The 16,436-nt window shown below is 34.9% G+C and overlaps 1 protein-coding gene across 66 annotated transcripts in view; it reads left to right on the top strand.

Moving 5' to 3' along the window:
* The window catches only part of QTMAN (queuosine-tRNA mannosyltransferase), a 395,002-nt gene that overhangs the window by 177,827 nt on the left and 200,739 nt on the right, over positions 1–16,436 (top strand). For 64 of the 66 annotated variants that reach the window (NR_164799.2, NR_164804.2, NR_164801.2 and 61 more), the window contains 2 exons: positions 9,504–9,671; positions 13,188–13,361. Coding sequence is in view for 51 of the 66 variants with exons in the window: in NM_001376325.2 (NP_001363254.1) it covers positions 9,504–9,671; positions 13,188–13,361 (342 nt within the window). In the remaining 15 variants the exon portion in view is untranslated. Of the gene's footprint in view, positions 1–9,345; positions 9,364–9,503; positions 9,676–13,187; positions 13,362–16,436 lie in introns of those variants that run through there. The other 2 variants (XM_047445846.1, NR_164800.2) reach the window with 2 other exon arrangements.

Raw genomic sequence — 16,436 nt, 5'->3', positions numbered from 1 at the left:
TTGAGTTCCTTTTGTTTGGATCCTGTCTTGAATACTTTACGATGGTGAAGCAGAGAACAGTGCCTGAAATACTATTAGGGACCCCAGGAAAAACTAATGAGCTCAATAAAAAATGACATCAAATAACACATCATAGAATCGTGTTGGGTGTTCACATCCATGGGGCATGGGGAATGTAAGCACCCATGGGCATGGATGCTTCCCAGCTTGTTTTAATGGTAGGAGTGAATATTGTATTGAACACTTCTGTATAAATGGAAAGTTAACCAGTTTTATTTTCTCACAGTCGTTGAGGGAATGAATGATCCATTCACTCCATTTATTCATTCACTTATTTGAAAATATTTGTTAAGCACGTGGCTAGGATGGGGAATAAGACAGATGTAGGACCTGTCCTAATGGAACTTTAAAATCCAGAGTGATAGCTGCCAAGTTAGGAAAACTCTAGGATACTAAAGAAAAGAACAGCAGATCTAATTTATCTTATCAAGGAATATATACTTCAGTGTGAAGAAACGGGATAATATATTAAATATTGGAGAACCACATAGAATAGTTATGTAAAATTATATAACAGACTAGATCCCACATTTTTAACAAACATATTTGGTGATCAGGCAAGTTCTTTATTTAAATCAACTCTCCAGTGTATTTCCTCTCATTACCCTATTATCTGTAATCTTCAGTTACCTACTGGGCACTCTACTTATATTCAGTATTTGCAAAACATGTCTCTTTATTTCTCCTCCAAACCAGGATTTTTTTCCTCTTGTGTTAAGGAGTATTACACCATCACTATCTGATTATGTAAGCTAGAAACCTTTAGCCTCTTACTTTTAATAACCAAGCCGGACATTTCTTTCATCACCCTTAATGTTAGCCACTCTCTCTATTCCAGTGCCCTGACCTCCTCCTTGTTATTCCAGGAGGCTCGCTCCTGCATGTTATTTAGGATGCTTCCTAGAGTGCATCTCCTTAGGAAAGCCTTTACTGATGGTCATTACCTCTCCACAATTTGTATAGCCAGAGCAGTCTGGCCACTCAGTAAATATGTGATGGATAAAGGGTTGAAATAAAACTATTCACTTTTGTATAGTTCTTCTTTGTACCACTTATATTCTTTTATATTTCCAACACAGATTCTAATAAGTACAATTAACACAAAAACACTGAGTCACATACTAATCTTAAGATGATTCAAAATCAGTGTGGAGTAAGTGAAAAAGTAGAGGCTTTAGGCCCAGATCAACTTGAATTTGAAACTCATCTTTACCTCTTAGTAACTGCTGTTGTCTCAGCATTTAACCAAACCTCTTGTGCTTTAATTTCTTAACCAGTAAAATGAGGATAATAAGTCGTATCTCTTAGGGGTGGTGGTAGTGATGTGTGTAGAGAACCTTGCACGATACGTGGTTTTCTATCTTCCTTTAAAATATTACCATCAACATTACAATATTATGGTGATTAAAGGATTCCATTATCAAAAAGTGATCATGGAAAGCCATGGATTTAAATGAACTGTTTTGTTTTTGTTTTTGTTTTTGTTTTCTTTGAGACGGAGTCTCTCTCTGTCGCCCAGGCTGGAGTGCAGTGGTGCGATCTCGGCTCACTGCAAGCTGTGCCTCCTGGGTTCACGCCATTCTCCTGCCTCAGCCTCCCAAGTAACTGGGACTACAGGCACCTGCCACCATGCCTGGCAAATTTTTTCGTATTTTTAGTGTTAGCCAAGATGGTCTCGATCTCCTGACCTCGTGATCCGCCCGCCTCAGCCTCCCAGAGTGCTGGGATTACAGGCATGAGCCACCGTGCCCAGCCTAAAGGAACTGGTTTTATATCTTCTGTATTTGGTTATATTTAGAGTAATCTTCCTTATTTTGAGAATAATAGTGATTTATAGTGGTACTTTATTTATTTCTTTATCTTCTCACTTTACAACCATCTTTTTCTTGGCCAATAAGCATTAAAAACTGAGTTAATTAAGAATAAGAAAAAATAAAAGATTGTTAGTATAATAATGAACATGCAGTGAGTCACCAAATTGCTGAAAGATAAAGTACAAACTTCTTATCCTGCATCTGGATACTTCTGGGTCTGAGGAGGGCCACCGTTTCAGTTTTATCTGATTATTCATTTTTTTCCAAACGCTAACTGCTAGCCCTCTCTGACTAATTCAAATAGCACTGATCCTTTTAGTCCCGAGAACTCAGGACCTGGGCCTCTTCTGCCACCCCTGATAATTCTGAGACTTCCTGGTTTTTCACTGCTCTTAGTTCTCTTTTCTTCCACTGAGTGGCCATAGCACTTAGTGCCTCTGCCTTCATTCGTAATCAATCTCACACTGCTTTGTGACATTTCTTGTGCAGGAGAGAGCAGTTACTTATCTTTTTTATTGTTATTTAATGTTTCCTGTATTTACGGCTTATTTCACCAATTATATTGTCAGTTCTTTTAGAACGGGGTGATATCTTATACTTCTTAAATTGCCAAGTCAAAAGATTTTACAGTGTTCTGATTTGTTGACTTATTGATAGAATGTCTAAAAACAGATATATCTACAAATGTTCTGGTTCATATTACCTTGGACCTTGTAAGAATACTCTTAATAATGAACTCCAGTCCCAAAAGAAATAAACACATACATGAAAAAATGTTTAAATGTATGCAATAAAAATTTCAATGTATTTATAGATTTTTTAAAATAGTAGGCTCACCCTCTCTTCTTGTATCTTCCTTTCTTGTTAGAAACATAATTACAAAGTGTCTTTTATGGATTAAGCACTGTGCCAGATACCAAGAGTTAAAAGACTCAGCGTTTGCAGGAATAATTTAAGAGACACCTGAATTTAAGTGACACCTTTAGCTAAAGAAGCTCAATAGGCATTATGGAATTTGTTTCCTTAAACATCCGTAAGACAGTTCAGAGTGCTGATGATGGCAGCAAGGATAGATGTTAAGAAAACAGCCTTATGTTGGAGATACTGCTCAGTGGCAGGTTGTGCCTACAGTCTTTGATTCCCTACCTTCTTGACAGGTGTTCTGTATATAGTGCTTTTTTGTATACAGTGCTCTCCTGGCCATCGTGATAAGCACAGGAAAGGAAAATTACATGATGGAAGAAAGTAAAACTGTCCGATTGATGCCACATGATGAGACAGCTTTTGGGAAACTGGCTACTCTATTTATAAACAGCCTGTAAATTACCACCACAAGAACCTGGGAGATTAAATGACTGTGTTTCCTTTTCCTTCAGATAAGACTTCCATCTTGTATTTTTAATTGTTTCAGCAAAGGGAAACATTTTGTTAGGCAGTGTTCTTGTAAGTTTTTGAATATCCATAGCATTTAAACATGCAGTAGAAATGGTCCAATTAAGATTAAGTAGCTGACAACTAAAGCAAATTGTGTTAAAATGAATTTTGTATATTGATGATTAATGAATATTAGAACTCAGTTATCTCTCTACACAAGTTTTATGAATTAAAAAATATGTTGAAACCAAAGACTTTTGAAATGCTTGGGAGTAATTTTCATTTATGTGTGTATGTATCATTGAGTTTCTGTTGTAATTAAAACTCTGTCAAGGTGCTTTGGAAGTGATAAAGGGAAGAAAGCAATAGCTGTCCTCTCTTTCGCTTCTCATATCCAGTTTTATCAGCAAACCCTGACAGTTATCAGTACACCCAGTCAGGCCACTTGGTAACACTCTCACAATATTAGCATCTTAGCCCAAGACAGTGTCATTTTTTTTCTTCTTGCTGTCTTCTTCCACTCATGACTCCTTGCAGTCTGCTTTCCATATGGTAGTCAGAGTAAAGTTTTCTGGTATTAAAAAGTAATTTAAATATGCATGAATTACATAAACAAAAGAAATATAAGAGATTAATACAGAGAAGATTTCAAAACTTTATGGACATGAGTATAAAAATCATGCCCTAGTTGGAGATATTATGACTTACCATATCATGAAGCGTAATAAAAAATCATACCTTTTAGAAATAATTTTTAACATGGCAAAACAACATGGTGTTAAAAGCAAGAAATGAAAGTATGCAATAATGTATTTCTGTTACAAAGTGGAAAGAATAAAATAAAATATACCTAATGTACATATAAGATTTTGTCACTTCCCTGCTTAAAATCCTTCCAGCTCTTCCTATTGTTCTTACCACAAAACCAAGATTATTTTCATGTCTTACCTTTGAATCTTCACCCTTATTTTTGGCCACTCTCCCATTGGCTCCAACCTCCTTGGTCTTCGTTCAGTTCCTCAACCTGTCATTCTTCTTCTTGCCTCAGCTACTTTGTTTTCCATTTTATGTCTGTAATTTAGCATAGTGCCTTGCAAATAATAGGTGCTCAGCACATGCTTAGAGCACCAAAATGCAAATAGTAGCTATCTCTCTTTGGAATAGTTATGGGTGATATTCACTTTATTTGTATTTTTTGTGCTTAAAACATTTTCCATAGTGAATGTGTATTTTCTAATTCTCAGAAGGAAAAGAAAAAATAATGCCATTCCAGAACTGGAGAGCTGGGTAGGTGAAATTCATCTAGGCAGGAGGAACATGGAAATTAGGTTATCACAAGCGGGTCAAGGGTCTGTTCAGGAAAATCAGTTAAGCAGGTAATTGTATTCAGGAAACATGGGTGTCAGGTTAGGGAAAGCTGGTTCATCCAGAACTGTGCTTTCCAATACAGTAGCCACTAACCACATATGGCTAGTCGATTTAAATTTAAATTTAATCAAATTAAATTTAAAAGTTAGTTCCTCAGGAGTACTAGCTACATTTCAAGTGCTCGATAGCCATATGTAGCTAGTCATATGTGGACAGTACAGATATAGAACATTTTCATCATCATAGAAAATACTGCATCACAGAAAATACAGGATCCTAGAGAGTAGATATCAAGGAACAGGAATGCATGAGAGGGAAGAAAAGAACCAAGGCTTAGGTAATGAGTCTTAGCAACATGAATCTAGACCAGGAGTTTAGGTATTGAGCAAAGTGACACAGCTAGAAGAATTTACTCTTTTGTCAAAGGCCTCCTGAAGCCATGCAAGAAATTGTGTATGAGTGGTAACACAGCCCAAACTGGTGTCTGTGTTAAATTGTATACACTATCTCATTATGTCATAAATAGCTTCAGGAGAGGAGAGGGGCCTACTGAAAAGATTTCATGGGGCAAGAGTGAGGTGACCTAGCCCATGAAGAATCATTACTAAAATGTATGGGCAGTGGCTGGAATATTGAATGCCTGCCTTCTGTTACTCATTTCACTTCCCTTCTGTACCATTTAAGATATAAAAGTGTGCATCTTAATGGTAATGGTCACACTACTACTGCCCTTAGGTATATTTCAGCTTTTCTTTTTACATATTAAGTAAATAGGGTAAAAGGCAAACAACTGATTTATTTAAATTGAGCAGAAAATAATAAAATCTTTAATCTCGAATTTCATTGTGTTTAACTGTTTCGGATTCTTTAAACATATATGACTTGAAATGTAGATACAATGTGTATTGGAAACAATCGAAACGTGTACAGGTCCTTTTCCCAAATACATGGAATGGTGTTAATGTGCTTGCAGCATAGAGCCGTTTTGGTTAGATGATTATAGTAGCAGCTTACTTGTACTTTTGGTGAAATGGTAAGCTAATGATGTAGCTGTTAATTTGAATTTAGCAGACATTTTAAATATAGGTTTCTCTTACAGAGACAAAAGTTGCAATTTAAAGCTCTTTGGTGGTCTAAAAACAGCTTAATTCTGTAGTAGCATGGTAATAAGTACTAATCCAGCTTATACAGTGATTGTAGTATGTCATGTTTGTGAAAGATTGCTCAACTGCTTTCTCTGGGTTTTATGTTAATTTAAAAATATTAAACATAAAACCTTATAACATCTTCATGCTGAGATAAACTGTTCAATTTAACTTGTGCTCAAGCAGCAGCTGTCAGGAATTATCTTGTTCCTAGTGGTTTTTGCTATCACCTTGTGTCCTTTCCTGCTAGAGACACACTGTGGGATGATAAAATGCACCTTGTTAGGATTTATTGGTTAAATAATACCTGAGGCAGGATGAGCATTTGTAGCCCAGGGATTAGCTGCTGATCAAGTGATGTCATTCATTGTATTATTATCAATTTTTAAAAATTGATAGTAGGGAGCAGAGTAAAAATTGCCTATGGATCACCTGCATTCCTTTTGTGGGCATATTCATTACTTCTTTTTGGGTGTTGTTGAGCTAAATATTTGAGAAATTGCTTATTGACCACTTTACCGTTTTACGAGCAAGAAAAGCAAAGAGATGATGGAGATAATTTCCACTATTTAAAACTAGTGAGGGCTATTTCAAGATTAATTATACAAATACAGTGAATTTTCTTTTAATGATTAAACAAACTGAAAGAAGTGTTGGCGTGGGCAGTCTCAAATGGGGAATATTATGAAAATTATTGTTGTTTCTCATATGAATATATTGCCTTCTTTTATTTGGGAGGTTTTCTTTGGAAGGCTGAACTTTAGGGTTGAATTCTTTGGTTACGGATAAGCTGGTGGGTAGGGGGACATGTGGTAGAAATAGAGTGAAGGGCTCCTTTCGGTTAAACATTAGCTATAGATAGTCCACCCTGAGGATAATCCTCATGTAGAAATTAACAGTTGGAATATGGCTAGAAATACAGATATGATGGGTTTATTGTTTATGGAATATAGAATTTTTTCTTCTACTTACTGCCATTTAATGCCTGTTACTTCAAATGTATAGTTTTATAAATGTATAACTTACCCAAAATTTGCAGTACGACAATGCCTTGCTCCATGAAATCTGTTTGATAGACTCTCCCCATCCCCTGAAGCTATGAATTACTACACACCTGTTCACATAGATTAATCAACTGTTAATGTGTTTGCACATTTTTTATTTTTCTCTCTCTGTAAATATATACATATTAATATTTATTATTAGTAGTAGCATTTGGCTGAACTATTTAATAATTTATTGCAGACATCATGGCATTTCACATCTAAATAATTTGACATGAATCTCCTAACAATAGGAATATTCTCCTACATAACTGCAATAAAATTATTGTATTTAAGAAATTAAAGATTGATAAAAACTTGCAGTCTTATAATTAGCCCATATTCAAATTTTTCCTATTGTCCTAATAATGTCCTTAATAGGTGTTCTTTTCCCTTCCAGTGTCCACTAAAGGATCATATACTGGATTTTGTTTTGAGTGTCTTTATTTCCTTTAGTCTAGATTTTTTTCTTTTATGACATGACATTTTTGGAGATCCAGCAAATTATTTTGCAGAATATTTGTCTGGTTATTCCTTACCAAATTCAGCTTAGGCATTTTTGGCAGGAATACTATACTGATGATTTGTATCTTTCTCAGTGTATCACATTTGGAAATACATAATATCACTTTGTCCCATTATTGGTCACAGTAAGTTTGATCACTTGATTACATTGGTTTCTACCAGATTTCCCCATCATAAAAGGTATATTTTTTGTAATTAATAACTCATATGAAGGCTACTTTTAATGCATTTTTCTGCCTTGTGTGTGAAAAACATTATGCTTGCCCAGGTGATAATGATTAAGAATGGGCGTCATTGCTTGCAATAGTATGTATGGTCAGGGATGGGCATAGTAAGAAAGAATAGAAGGAGAGGAGGATTACGCAATAACTAGACCTAGAAGTTGCCATGTATTCCCTTTTAAGGAAAATATTGTTTGAAATTAATATTTTGTTGTTTCCTCTGCTAAAGATCAGATTTTTAGGTAAACAAATATCTTCATGTTTCAGAATTTTCAGTGTAAGTTTTAGAGAGGCTTATATGTGGTAGTGGTGTGGGGAATATGTTTGGACAAAATGGGGCATTGTTTGGTCATAATTTTTTTTTTATTTGGGTATAGACAGACAGGTTTAAAAAATAAGTGCATCTCCTTGGTAAGATTTTTTTTTTTTAACCTTAAAGAGATAAATTATAACATTAATATAGCAATGTAGGTTTGAAGAGGGATTGCTGGCTTTTGGTCTTGTGTGCCTCTTTTAGCCCGTGAAGAAGACACTTGAATTCCTACTTGTGATATATGCACTTATTATGTAATCCTTCTTATGTGAAAGGCTAGTGCGGCAGATCATATAAACACCTGAAGTTAGCCATTTGGCTTGTCAGCAAGGGAGGATTTATAGTAGTTGTAATCATGGTAATAACAAGGATGATATTTTGTATTTATTAAGTACAGAAAAAAGCACTTGCAATGTAAGTGGTCTGCAACCAATTCATATCTGTGGTGTAATGAAAAGCAGTTTGAGCCCTTAGAAGACCAGCAGTCTCTCTGCTTTGCAACTTTCTACCAGTGTGATCCTAGAAAAACTCTTAACCTTCTTGAACCTGATTTTTTAGAAAGGGAATTAAAGCCATAAAGGTAAAATGATGTTACATTATGTTATAAAGGTGGCATTCTATCAAAATTGTGTCATCTAAATGTCCTCAGCTGCTCAAGTCCTGTACTTTGTCCCTCTTTTGTGTCCGTATGTAATAGGCACCTTATTAGGGAAACATTTCCAGGTTGTCCCAGACAATTAGTATTGCTTTCTGTTTGTTTCTCTAATGTTTTGTGTATGTCTCTATTACAGGCAGCATTTATCCTGCTGAGCTGTCTTGTTCATCTTTTCTGTTCTTCCTGGTTAGACCCTGGCACATAGTAGGCATTTAGTAAATGTATGTGGAATGAGAGAGTAAATTGACACTTTTTTCATTTATAAACATGGATAGGCAAGCTTTCAGTTTCCCTTTTTCCCTTAAAAATGAGGAATCAGCCTTTCATAAAATTTTTATATTTGTGCTTTTTAAGGGATTTTACAGATGATGCATCTGGTACCATTAGCAGTCCAGTAATGGAGAAGAAAAGATGTTTTTAAAAATACAAGTATTGTAAGATACTTTACAAGTGAGGGGAGGGTAAGAAAACATGCCAAGAGAAAAAGACCATACTAGATAAGTCTATTGCATAAATCAAAAGAGTTTATGTCATAACATGAACATGTGCCATTCCTGCTCATACATTGAATTTCAGTAGTTGGTTGCATAAAGAAGGAAAGTGTAATGAAACTGGCAAGCAAAGTATTCCGCAGTCAGTCTTATCTTTGTTCCATTTGTCCTTCAGATAGAGCTTTTCTTGCCTTTTTCAATAAAATCCATCCGGCTTTTTTTTTTTTTTTTTTTTTTTTTTTTTTTTTTTAACATTTCTCAGTAACTGCACTGAGAAGACCAGTGAGATTCGGGGACTTTATAGTTCTAAGCAGCTGCTTTTTAAGAGATCAAAACTTAGAATGCTGCTACATGGTATTAAGCCTCAACTATTGATGTGTCCCTATAGGGGATGTGTTTTTCTTGGGGTGGGAAGAGGAAAGAGGAGAGAAGAGCAAAGCATGATCCCTTCAAACATACTTGGGACAGTAAACCCCAATTTTCTTGTTTCCTAGGACCCTCTTTGCAAGTTCAGTGCTTAACCTGACCGAACTGGCTGCCCTTCGGCCTGACCTTGGGAAACTGAAAAAGATTCTGTATTTTCACGAGAACCAGTTGATATATCCTGTCAAGAAATGTCAGGAGAGGGATTTCCAATATGGATACAACCAAATTCTTTCATGGTAGGTATGGATTGTATCATTATATTTGGCCCTTTGCTACCTTTTTCTTTGTAGGTGGTTACGTTTTAAATCTGGAGACCTACTATTGTACACCTTTTTTTAAAACACCATAAGGTAGGTGCAAATATTTAAACAATTCTTCCTTCTGCAGTATATGTAAGATCACAACTAATCATTTTATAAAAATACATATATGTAACAATCTAATTATATGTTGAGCTAATTATCTATTTTTCACAACATTCAAAATAGAATTAAAAGGTTGGCAGGGACCTTCACCCCTTGATTTCATGATCTATTGCTTAAGGCATTTAGAAAGTGCAGTTAGTCAACTCTTACTTATTAATCACGATCACTGTATTCAGCTAAAATCAAAATAGAGTTTTACAGAGAAGTAAAAATTAAAGCATAATGGAGCAACTTGGGGTTTTGTCTCCCCCGCCTTTTTTTTTTTTTTTTTTTTAAATTGTAAGACAGAGAAGACTATGGACAATGAATCCTTAGGTAGTGTTTTCTTTTTTCCTTCGTTGAGTCTTCTGAAATGGCACAGCCTTAAAATACCATGACATTTTAAAGGTGATGGTCCTCTATTGTTACTTCGACAAAGTGTATCTCCTGAAGCTTAGTTAATGAAAGAAGTTAATAACAATTCTGAAATGGCTTTGCTATTGGATCCTATTCACATAACTGCAACAGTCAAACGGAATCTGTTTGTCAGTGATTTTGTACATTTTATTTATCTTTATTAACAGCTATTAGCAACTGGGTTTGATGATGTATTTGAACAGACCCGCAATTCTTGCAAGAATGTTTCATAGTTTAGTTGACATAGAAAAATGGCTATATAGTAATAATTCTGTGTTGTGTGCATTTTGTGAATGTTTTCCTACAATCATTTTTACAAGCTGCTTCAATTGTGAAGTAGCAGTGCTATCAAAATAGAGTGCAACTGCTTCACGTCAAATGTCTCATAAAAAAAGCAGCCGTTTTAAAATTTCATAATAAAATTAAAATACTTTATATTGAAACAGAGAAGGAAAATATGTTTTAAAAATGAAAATAAAATCATTTTGTGCTTTATCAATATGGAAAACATTTGTAATATTCTTTTGATTTCTTGAATTAGCATCATTCTTTTCCTCAGATAGTGTGTTTATTACCCCTGAGAAATCATTGGGAAAAAAACTAAGTCTATTTTTTCCTTTATGGGTGGCTTTAAAGTTAATGGAAGTTACATCCACTCATATCAGGGAGGAAATGTACCAAAAAGGATATTTCTGTAAACTATCTTGGATCTTTAATTTAGCATAGACTGGATTTTTAAGAATGTAAGTCATTGGGTCACATGCCGTTTGAGGGAAGCTATCTAAAAACAATTCAGCTCTCGATTCCTCCTCACTTTCATAAAACATTGTTTTTGCTGATAGGGAATGAGACTATAAAAGTTTTGTACATGATTTTTCAGCATTGCTTTTCTCAAGAGGGTAAACTTATAGACAAGCTTGGAGAGAGAGAAGTGTACTTCATCATCAGTTGGCTTCTTAATGGGGAAAAAATGGTTCACAGTTGTCCAGAGGAAAAATAAGAGTGTCAAAAGGCAGTCCTGTTCAGATTCTCTTTGAAAAGTATGACTCCTGCTTCCTCAAATGTTTCTTTAGTTTTCTTGCTGACTTCTGCTTTTTTTGGCACTGTCAGATTTCTTTCTGGACTGTGTGGCAGTTAAGGACTTTAAAGATGACTGACATAAGCACTCACCTTAAACAGTGATTTCACTAACCCTCTGACTTATGAACACATGTCACAACTATATATTATGACCTGTAGGTCACTATTACAATATGTGACATATGGTGAAAACAAGACTAGCTGTAAAACATCCTTCAACTTTTGGTATATTATTATATTAGCTTCCTTATTGCTTAGTGTTGTGTCAGCACTTCTGTGACATTCCTTTGTATTGTTCGTGTTGTAATCACCCACACCCCCCAAATTTGCACTAGGTAGCAACTAATAAACAATACTTGTATAGAAAATCAGTTTTTTTCAAGGGATGCACGGAAGTAGCAGGCCAACACTCTTTTTGTTCATTTTTTATTCTGCTAGATATTAACATTGTAATAGTAAATTTGGCTGTCTCAGCAAATATGACTTAAACTAAACTGACGTTTGGCTACGGCATTCCTATTCTATAAGCTCTACTTATTCTGTGGTGTTCTGCAGTCCTGTGGACATAACATGTCTTCTTTCCAGTAGTATTGATCTATCATTTTTAGGGTGGAATAAAACCAATTGCTTTATCCCTTTAATCTTGTATACAGATGTTCCTCAACTTACGATAGGATTACAGCCTGGTAAACCCATTATTGTGAGTTGAGAATATGATAAGTTGAAATGCATTTAATACAACTAACCTATCAGACATCATAGCTTAGCCTAACCTACCTTCAACATATTCAGAATACTTACATTAGCCTACAGTTGGGCAAAATCATCTGGCAGCACAGGCCACTGTAGAGTATTGGTTGTTTACCCTTGTGATCATGTGGCTGACTGAGATTTGTGCCTCACTGCTGCTGCCTAGCATCGTGAGAGAATATTGTGCACATACCATTAGCCCAGGAAAAGATCAAAATTCAGTATTCGAAGTATGGTTTCAATTGAATATATATTACATTTTCACCATTGTGAAATTTAAAAAATCTTAAGTTTGAACCATTGTTGTTGCGGACTGGTATTACCACATTTATTTCATTGAATTCGAAGATCATGGTGTTGCGGCGCTTTATAATTTATATGTACCTTTATGTAATCAGTTAGGACCTAGTGATCTGGATTTCCGGATGCATTTCTACCAGTTTCTTCTATTTCTCTGGCTAGCCCAATATAATATAATATGATAGTGAAACAAGTTATTTTGGGATACCATAATCCTTTCTGTGTAGTCCCAGAACTTTTAAAAACTTAACACAGTTTCTTGAAGTAAAAGCTACAGCAAGAAGTAGACTTTAACCAAATAGTGCCGAAGGTATCGTGCCTTAGTATGAAAGTAGTTTTATCTGAATTAGTCTTCTTGAAGTTAGTGAGAAGTGTGACAGATGCTCTGTTCTCGGTAGTATGGTGTAAAATGATGCACATCACTGACAGAAATTCAACATGGGTAGCTGGGCCACGAAGAAAAAGGAATTGCTGTACGTAGTGTTGTTGATAATATAGAAAGTTCCTGGCATTGTGGAAAAATATGCTTTGGTTTGGAGTCTCATGCGATCCCATTAAATCATTCTATTTCCCTGTTGCCTTTCAAATCTGATGCCACCAATCAACTCCCTGTGATATAACACTAATGAAACCAACTTAGCTCTTAGAGACATTTTGGTAGATACTGATATGAAGTGAAGAGTTCTTTGCAAACCTAAGGTGTAGTATAAACTCTGATTAATCCATAGAGGTCTTAGGTTGATAAAAATTACTCTGAATGAGTCTGGGCTCATCATTTGCATTTGTCTTTTACCTTTACAGCCTGGTGGCTGATGTGGTTGTATTCAACTCAGTTTTTAATATGGAATCATTTCTCACTTCCATGGGAAAATTTATGAAGCTGATTCCTGATCACAGACCCAAGGATCTGGAAAGCATCATCAGACCCAAGTGCCAAGTTATTTACTTTCCCATCAGGTTTCCTGATGTGAGCAGGTCAGTATGTTTGACTCTGTTCTCAATATTGTGTCATAAATTATTCCTCAAATGTATAAAAATTGATGTTCTTCATGCCAGTTTTAACTTTTTAGCATAAGTATGGTTAGTTAGAGAATTAAGTTCTATCTCACCATGCTGTGATTTACAAAGATTTTAAATCATCATGTGTCTAACCCATCACTAGTTAGTTCAGATATTGAGTCCTTCTTTTCTTTTCTTTTCTTTTATTTATTTGTTTGCCAAAGCAGCCCGGTGTTTTGTTTCTTTCTTTCTTTCTTTTTTTTTTTTTTGTTACAGAAGTCATTGTCAAGCATATTTCTCAACCTTTGCATTCAGCTTATGCCCATTGATTTATATATACAATAAGAACTGGTCTAGATAAGTCAATGTTAAGTCTCACTGCTTGGATTAGTTCATTTCTCATGCTATTTTCTTTTATTTTTTCTTTATTTTTAATTATTTATATTATCTTAATAAAGAGTTAAGTCTTCTATATTGGTTTACAAATGTACCTAATTGCCATTTCTCTTTCTTAGTTACTAAGGACATTTTTTTTATTACCCTTGCTGCTGGGCCCACCTTGAATTAGCAATGGATGATGTGGCTCAAAGGGAACATTCTGGAATTCCTTTTCACTTTTGATTAAACCTAGCAAAACTGTTTTTACTACCACTAGGAATATTTCTCCCTTGTGAACAGAAAGTGTACTTCAGTGGGACTCACACTAGCAGGAGACGCTGCTGTTTTTTACTGACTGCTTTCTTAAAAGAGTTCAGGAACAGCTGTTTCTTCCTCATCCCTGAAATGAAGGCAGGAAATGATTTAATATCCATACATGCTATGCAAGAGGTCAGCATTAACTTCTGTGTTCTACACTTACTGAGTTCACCCATATTTTGCTGTAGAAACGGTAGTCCTCATCTGCACCCCATTGCTGATTTATTTGAGTGTCTTATTTGTTAATATTTCATCGAAGAAAAATCTGCCCCATACAAAATCAAGTTAGTGAATCATAAAATTTAAGTTAGACCATCTTGCCCAATCTTTATATAAAGTGCAGAAAACAGAGGCCCAGAGAAGTAGAGACTGGCTTGTATTCACCTTGTCGTTGTCACAGACTGGATTAATATTTAGGCCTTATGACTTCTGATTTCAATTTCTACTTACCATTCAAGCATCCTGTCATTACAGGTCATTTGTCAAAAACAGTTAATGATTTATTTGCTGTTTTGAAAACTATAAAGCTAAGTGGAGCCACGATCACAAAGCAATTTTCAGAATATATATGTAATTACGTATATTATCTATGTATTTGTAGACATAGTTTTCTTATGTGTGATGAGAGAACTACAACTTTTGAAAAATGTGATAGTTATACTTTGCCTGTGATTAACTAGAACAGTTATATATCTGAATTTTTCAAAATATGAACCTTATATTTTGACGTTTTAAGTTTTTTTAATATCACATATAGGCAAAATGTATATCTCTAAGTGAGTAGATGGTTATAGCTCCTCTTAATTATTACTGCTATAGAATTCTAAATAAATGTTTTAAAATTCATTTACATCCGATGTATTTCTGCAACATCATATGTTTAATATACCTGTGGCAGTTGAGTAGTTTATTAATTTGGATGATATTACCATAAAGGAATCTAGCTAAATAGAAAAAGGTTAAGAAATATTGTGGCCAAGATAACATTCATAAGCAAGGTCTTAGCCTAGAATGTTATTTGAATTATTTTCAAATGGTAATTTGCTTTATGCAACCCAAACTCATATAGTGTAAGTAAGTGATTATTTGCATGAATGACAATCATTCTAACGCCTGCAGTTTCAAAACTGTATTATTTTGTTGAGATGTTGAAAAGTATTTAGTAATTCCAAAGGCAAAATAACCAAGGTGATTAAAAAATATTTTTGAATGCTTGTATCTTTCTCCCAATCCAAATATTATTTGGTCATGGGAAAAATGAATTTAACTGAAAACAAAGCAGAAGATACAGTTAAATTATTAGTCATTGCGCTATATAATATAATGGATATTAATTAGGGAGGGGAGAAAAGCCATATTTCCAACAAAATAAATGAAGATTTTTAGAGTTTCTATCTGTTAAAACTCAGAGCATGTCTGTCACCTCAGCAGTTTCGCTAATATTAGACTCACAGCACCTACTGCTACCTCTTGCCTTCCTCACTTATCTCCTGCCTCACTCGCAATGACCAGATAAATAGTAGCATGAGAGTGTATTCTCTTGAAAACATTTCATTATATGTATTGAATATTTTGGGATGGGAAAGCTCTTAGACGCCGTAGTCATGTATACATGTATTTGAGTTTTGACCACCACTTACTAGTTCTGTGATCTGTACTTGTGGAATGACCTTGCACTTAAGTTTGTTAATGGTTGTGATTAAACCATCTCATAGGGATGATGCAGTGATTAAATGAAATAATGTATACCATGTACCTAGGATAGTGCTTAGCATACAGTAGACCCACAACAAAAGGTTATTTTATCTTGTTACCCGCCCCGCTCCCATTAATTTATAACCTAGCATATTTATTGGCATCTGAATATAGAGGACTATCTTCCCTCTGCCTCTCACAGTCCTATAATCGACACATGAAAATAGAGAACTACTCTCCTAAAAGCTGAATCTAATATAAATAAGGAGATTGGTTTTATTTATTTACTTTATCACCTTGAGTCAAACAATCCTTTGGCCTTACCAGACCCTACCATCCATTGATTGAGCCAACTTAATTTCACTCTTGTCCTATTTTCTCTTTCTTTGTCCAGCTTAACTTTCTTATTCCGTCATTATGTTTACTCTCTTGCATATCCTCTCAAATCATTTACACCTTTTGTTTCATATTTGATTGGCAAAACCCCTCGTCTGTTTAAATCTATTTGTTCATATACTGTCTTCCTATAATCATGGACTAAACATAACTGGAGAAAAGCATGTCATACTTATTAGCATGTTCTAAATGTGTGATTCATAAGATTCAGATGGGCCCTTTGACTACCTGGCAAGCATTTCCCTTCTTCTAGATAATTATGCC

This window comes from Homo sapiens, chromosome 2 (assembly GCF_000001405.40).
Source record: "Homo sapiens chromosome 2, GRCh38.p14 Primary Assembly".
Lineage (NCBI taxonomy): Eukaryota > Metazoa > Chordata > Mammalia > Primates > Hominidae > Homo > Homo sapiens.
This window is presented reverse-complemented; position numbering and strand designations above follow the sequence as displayed.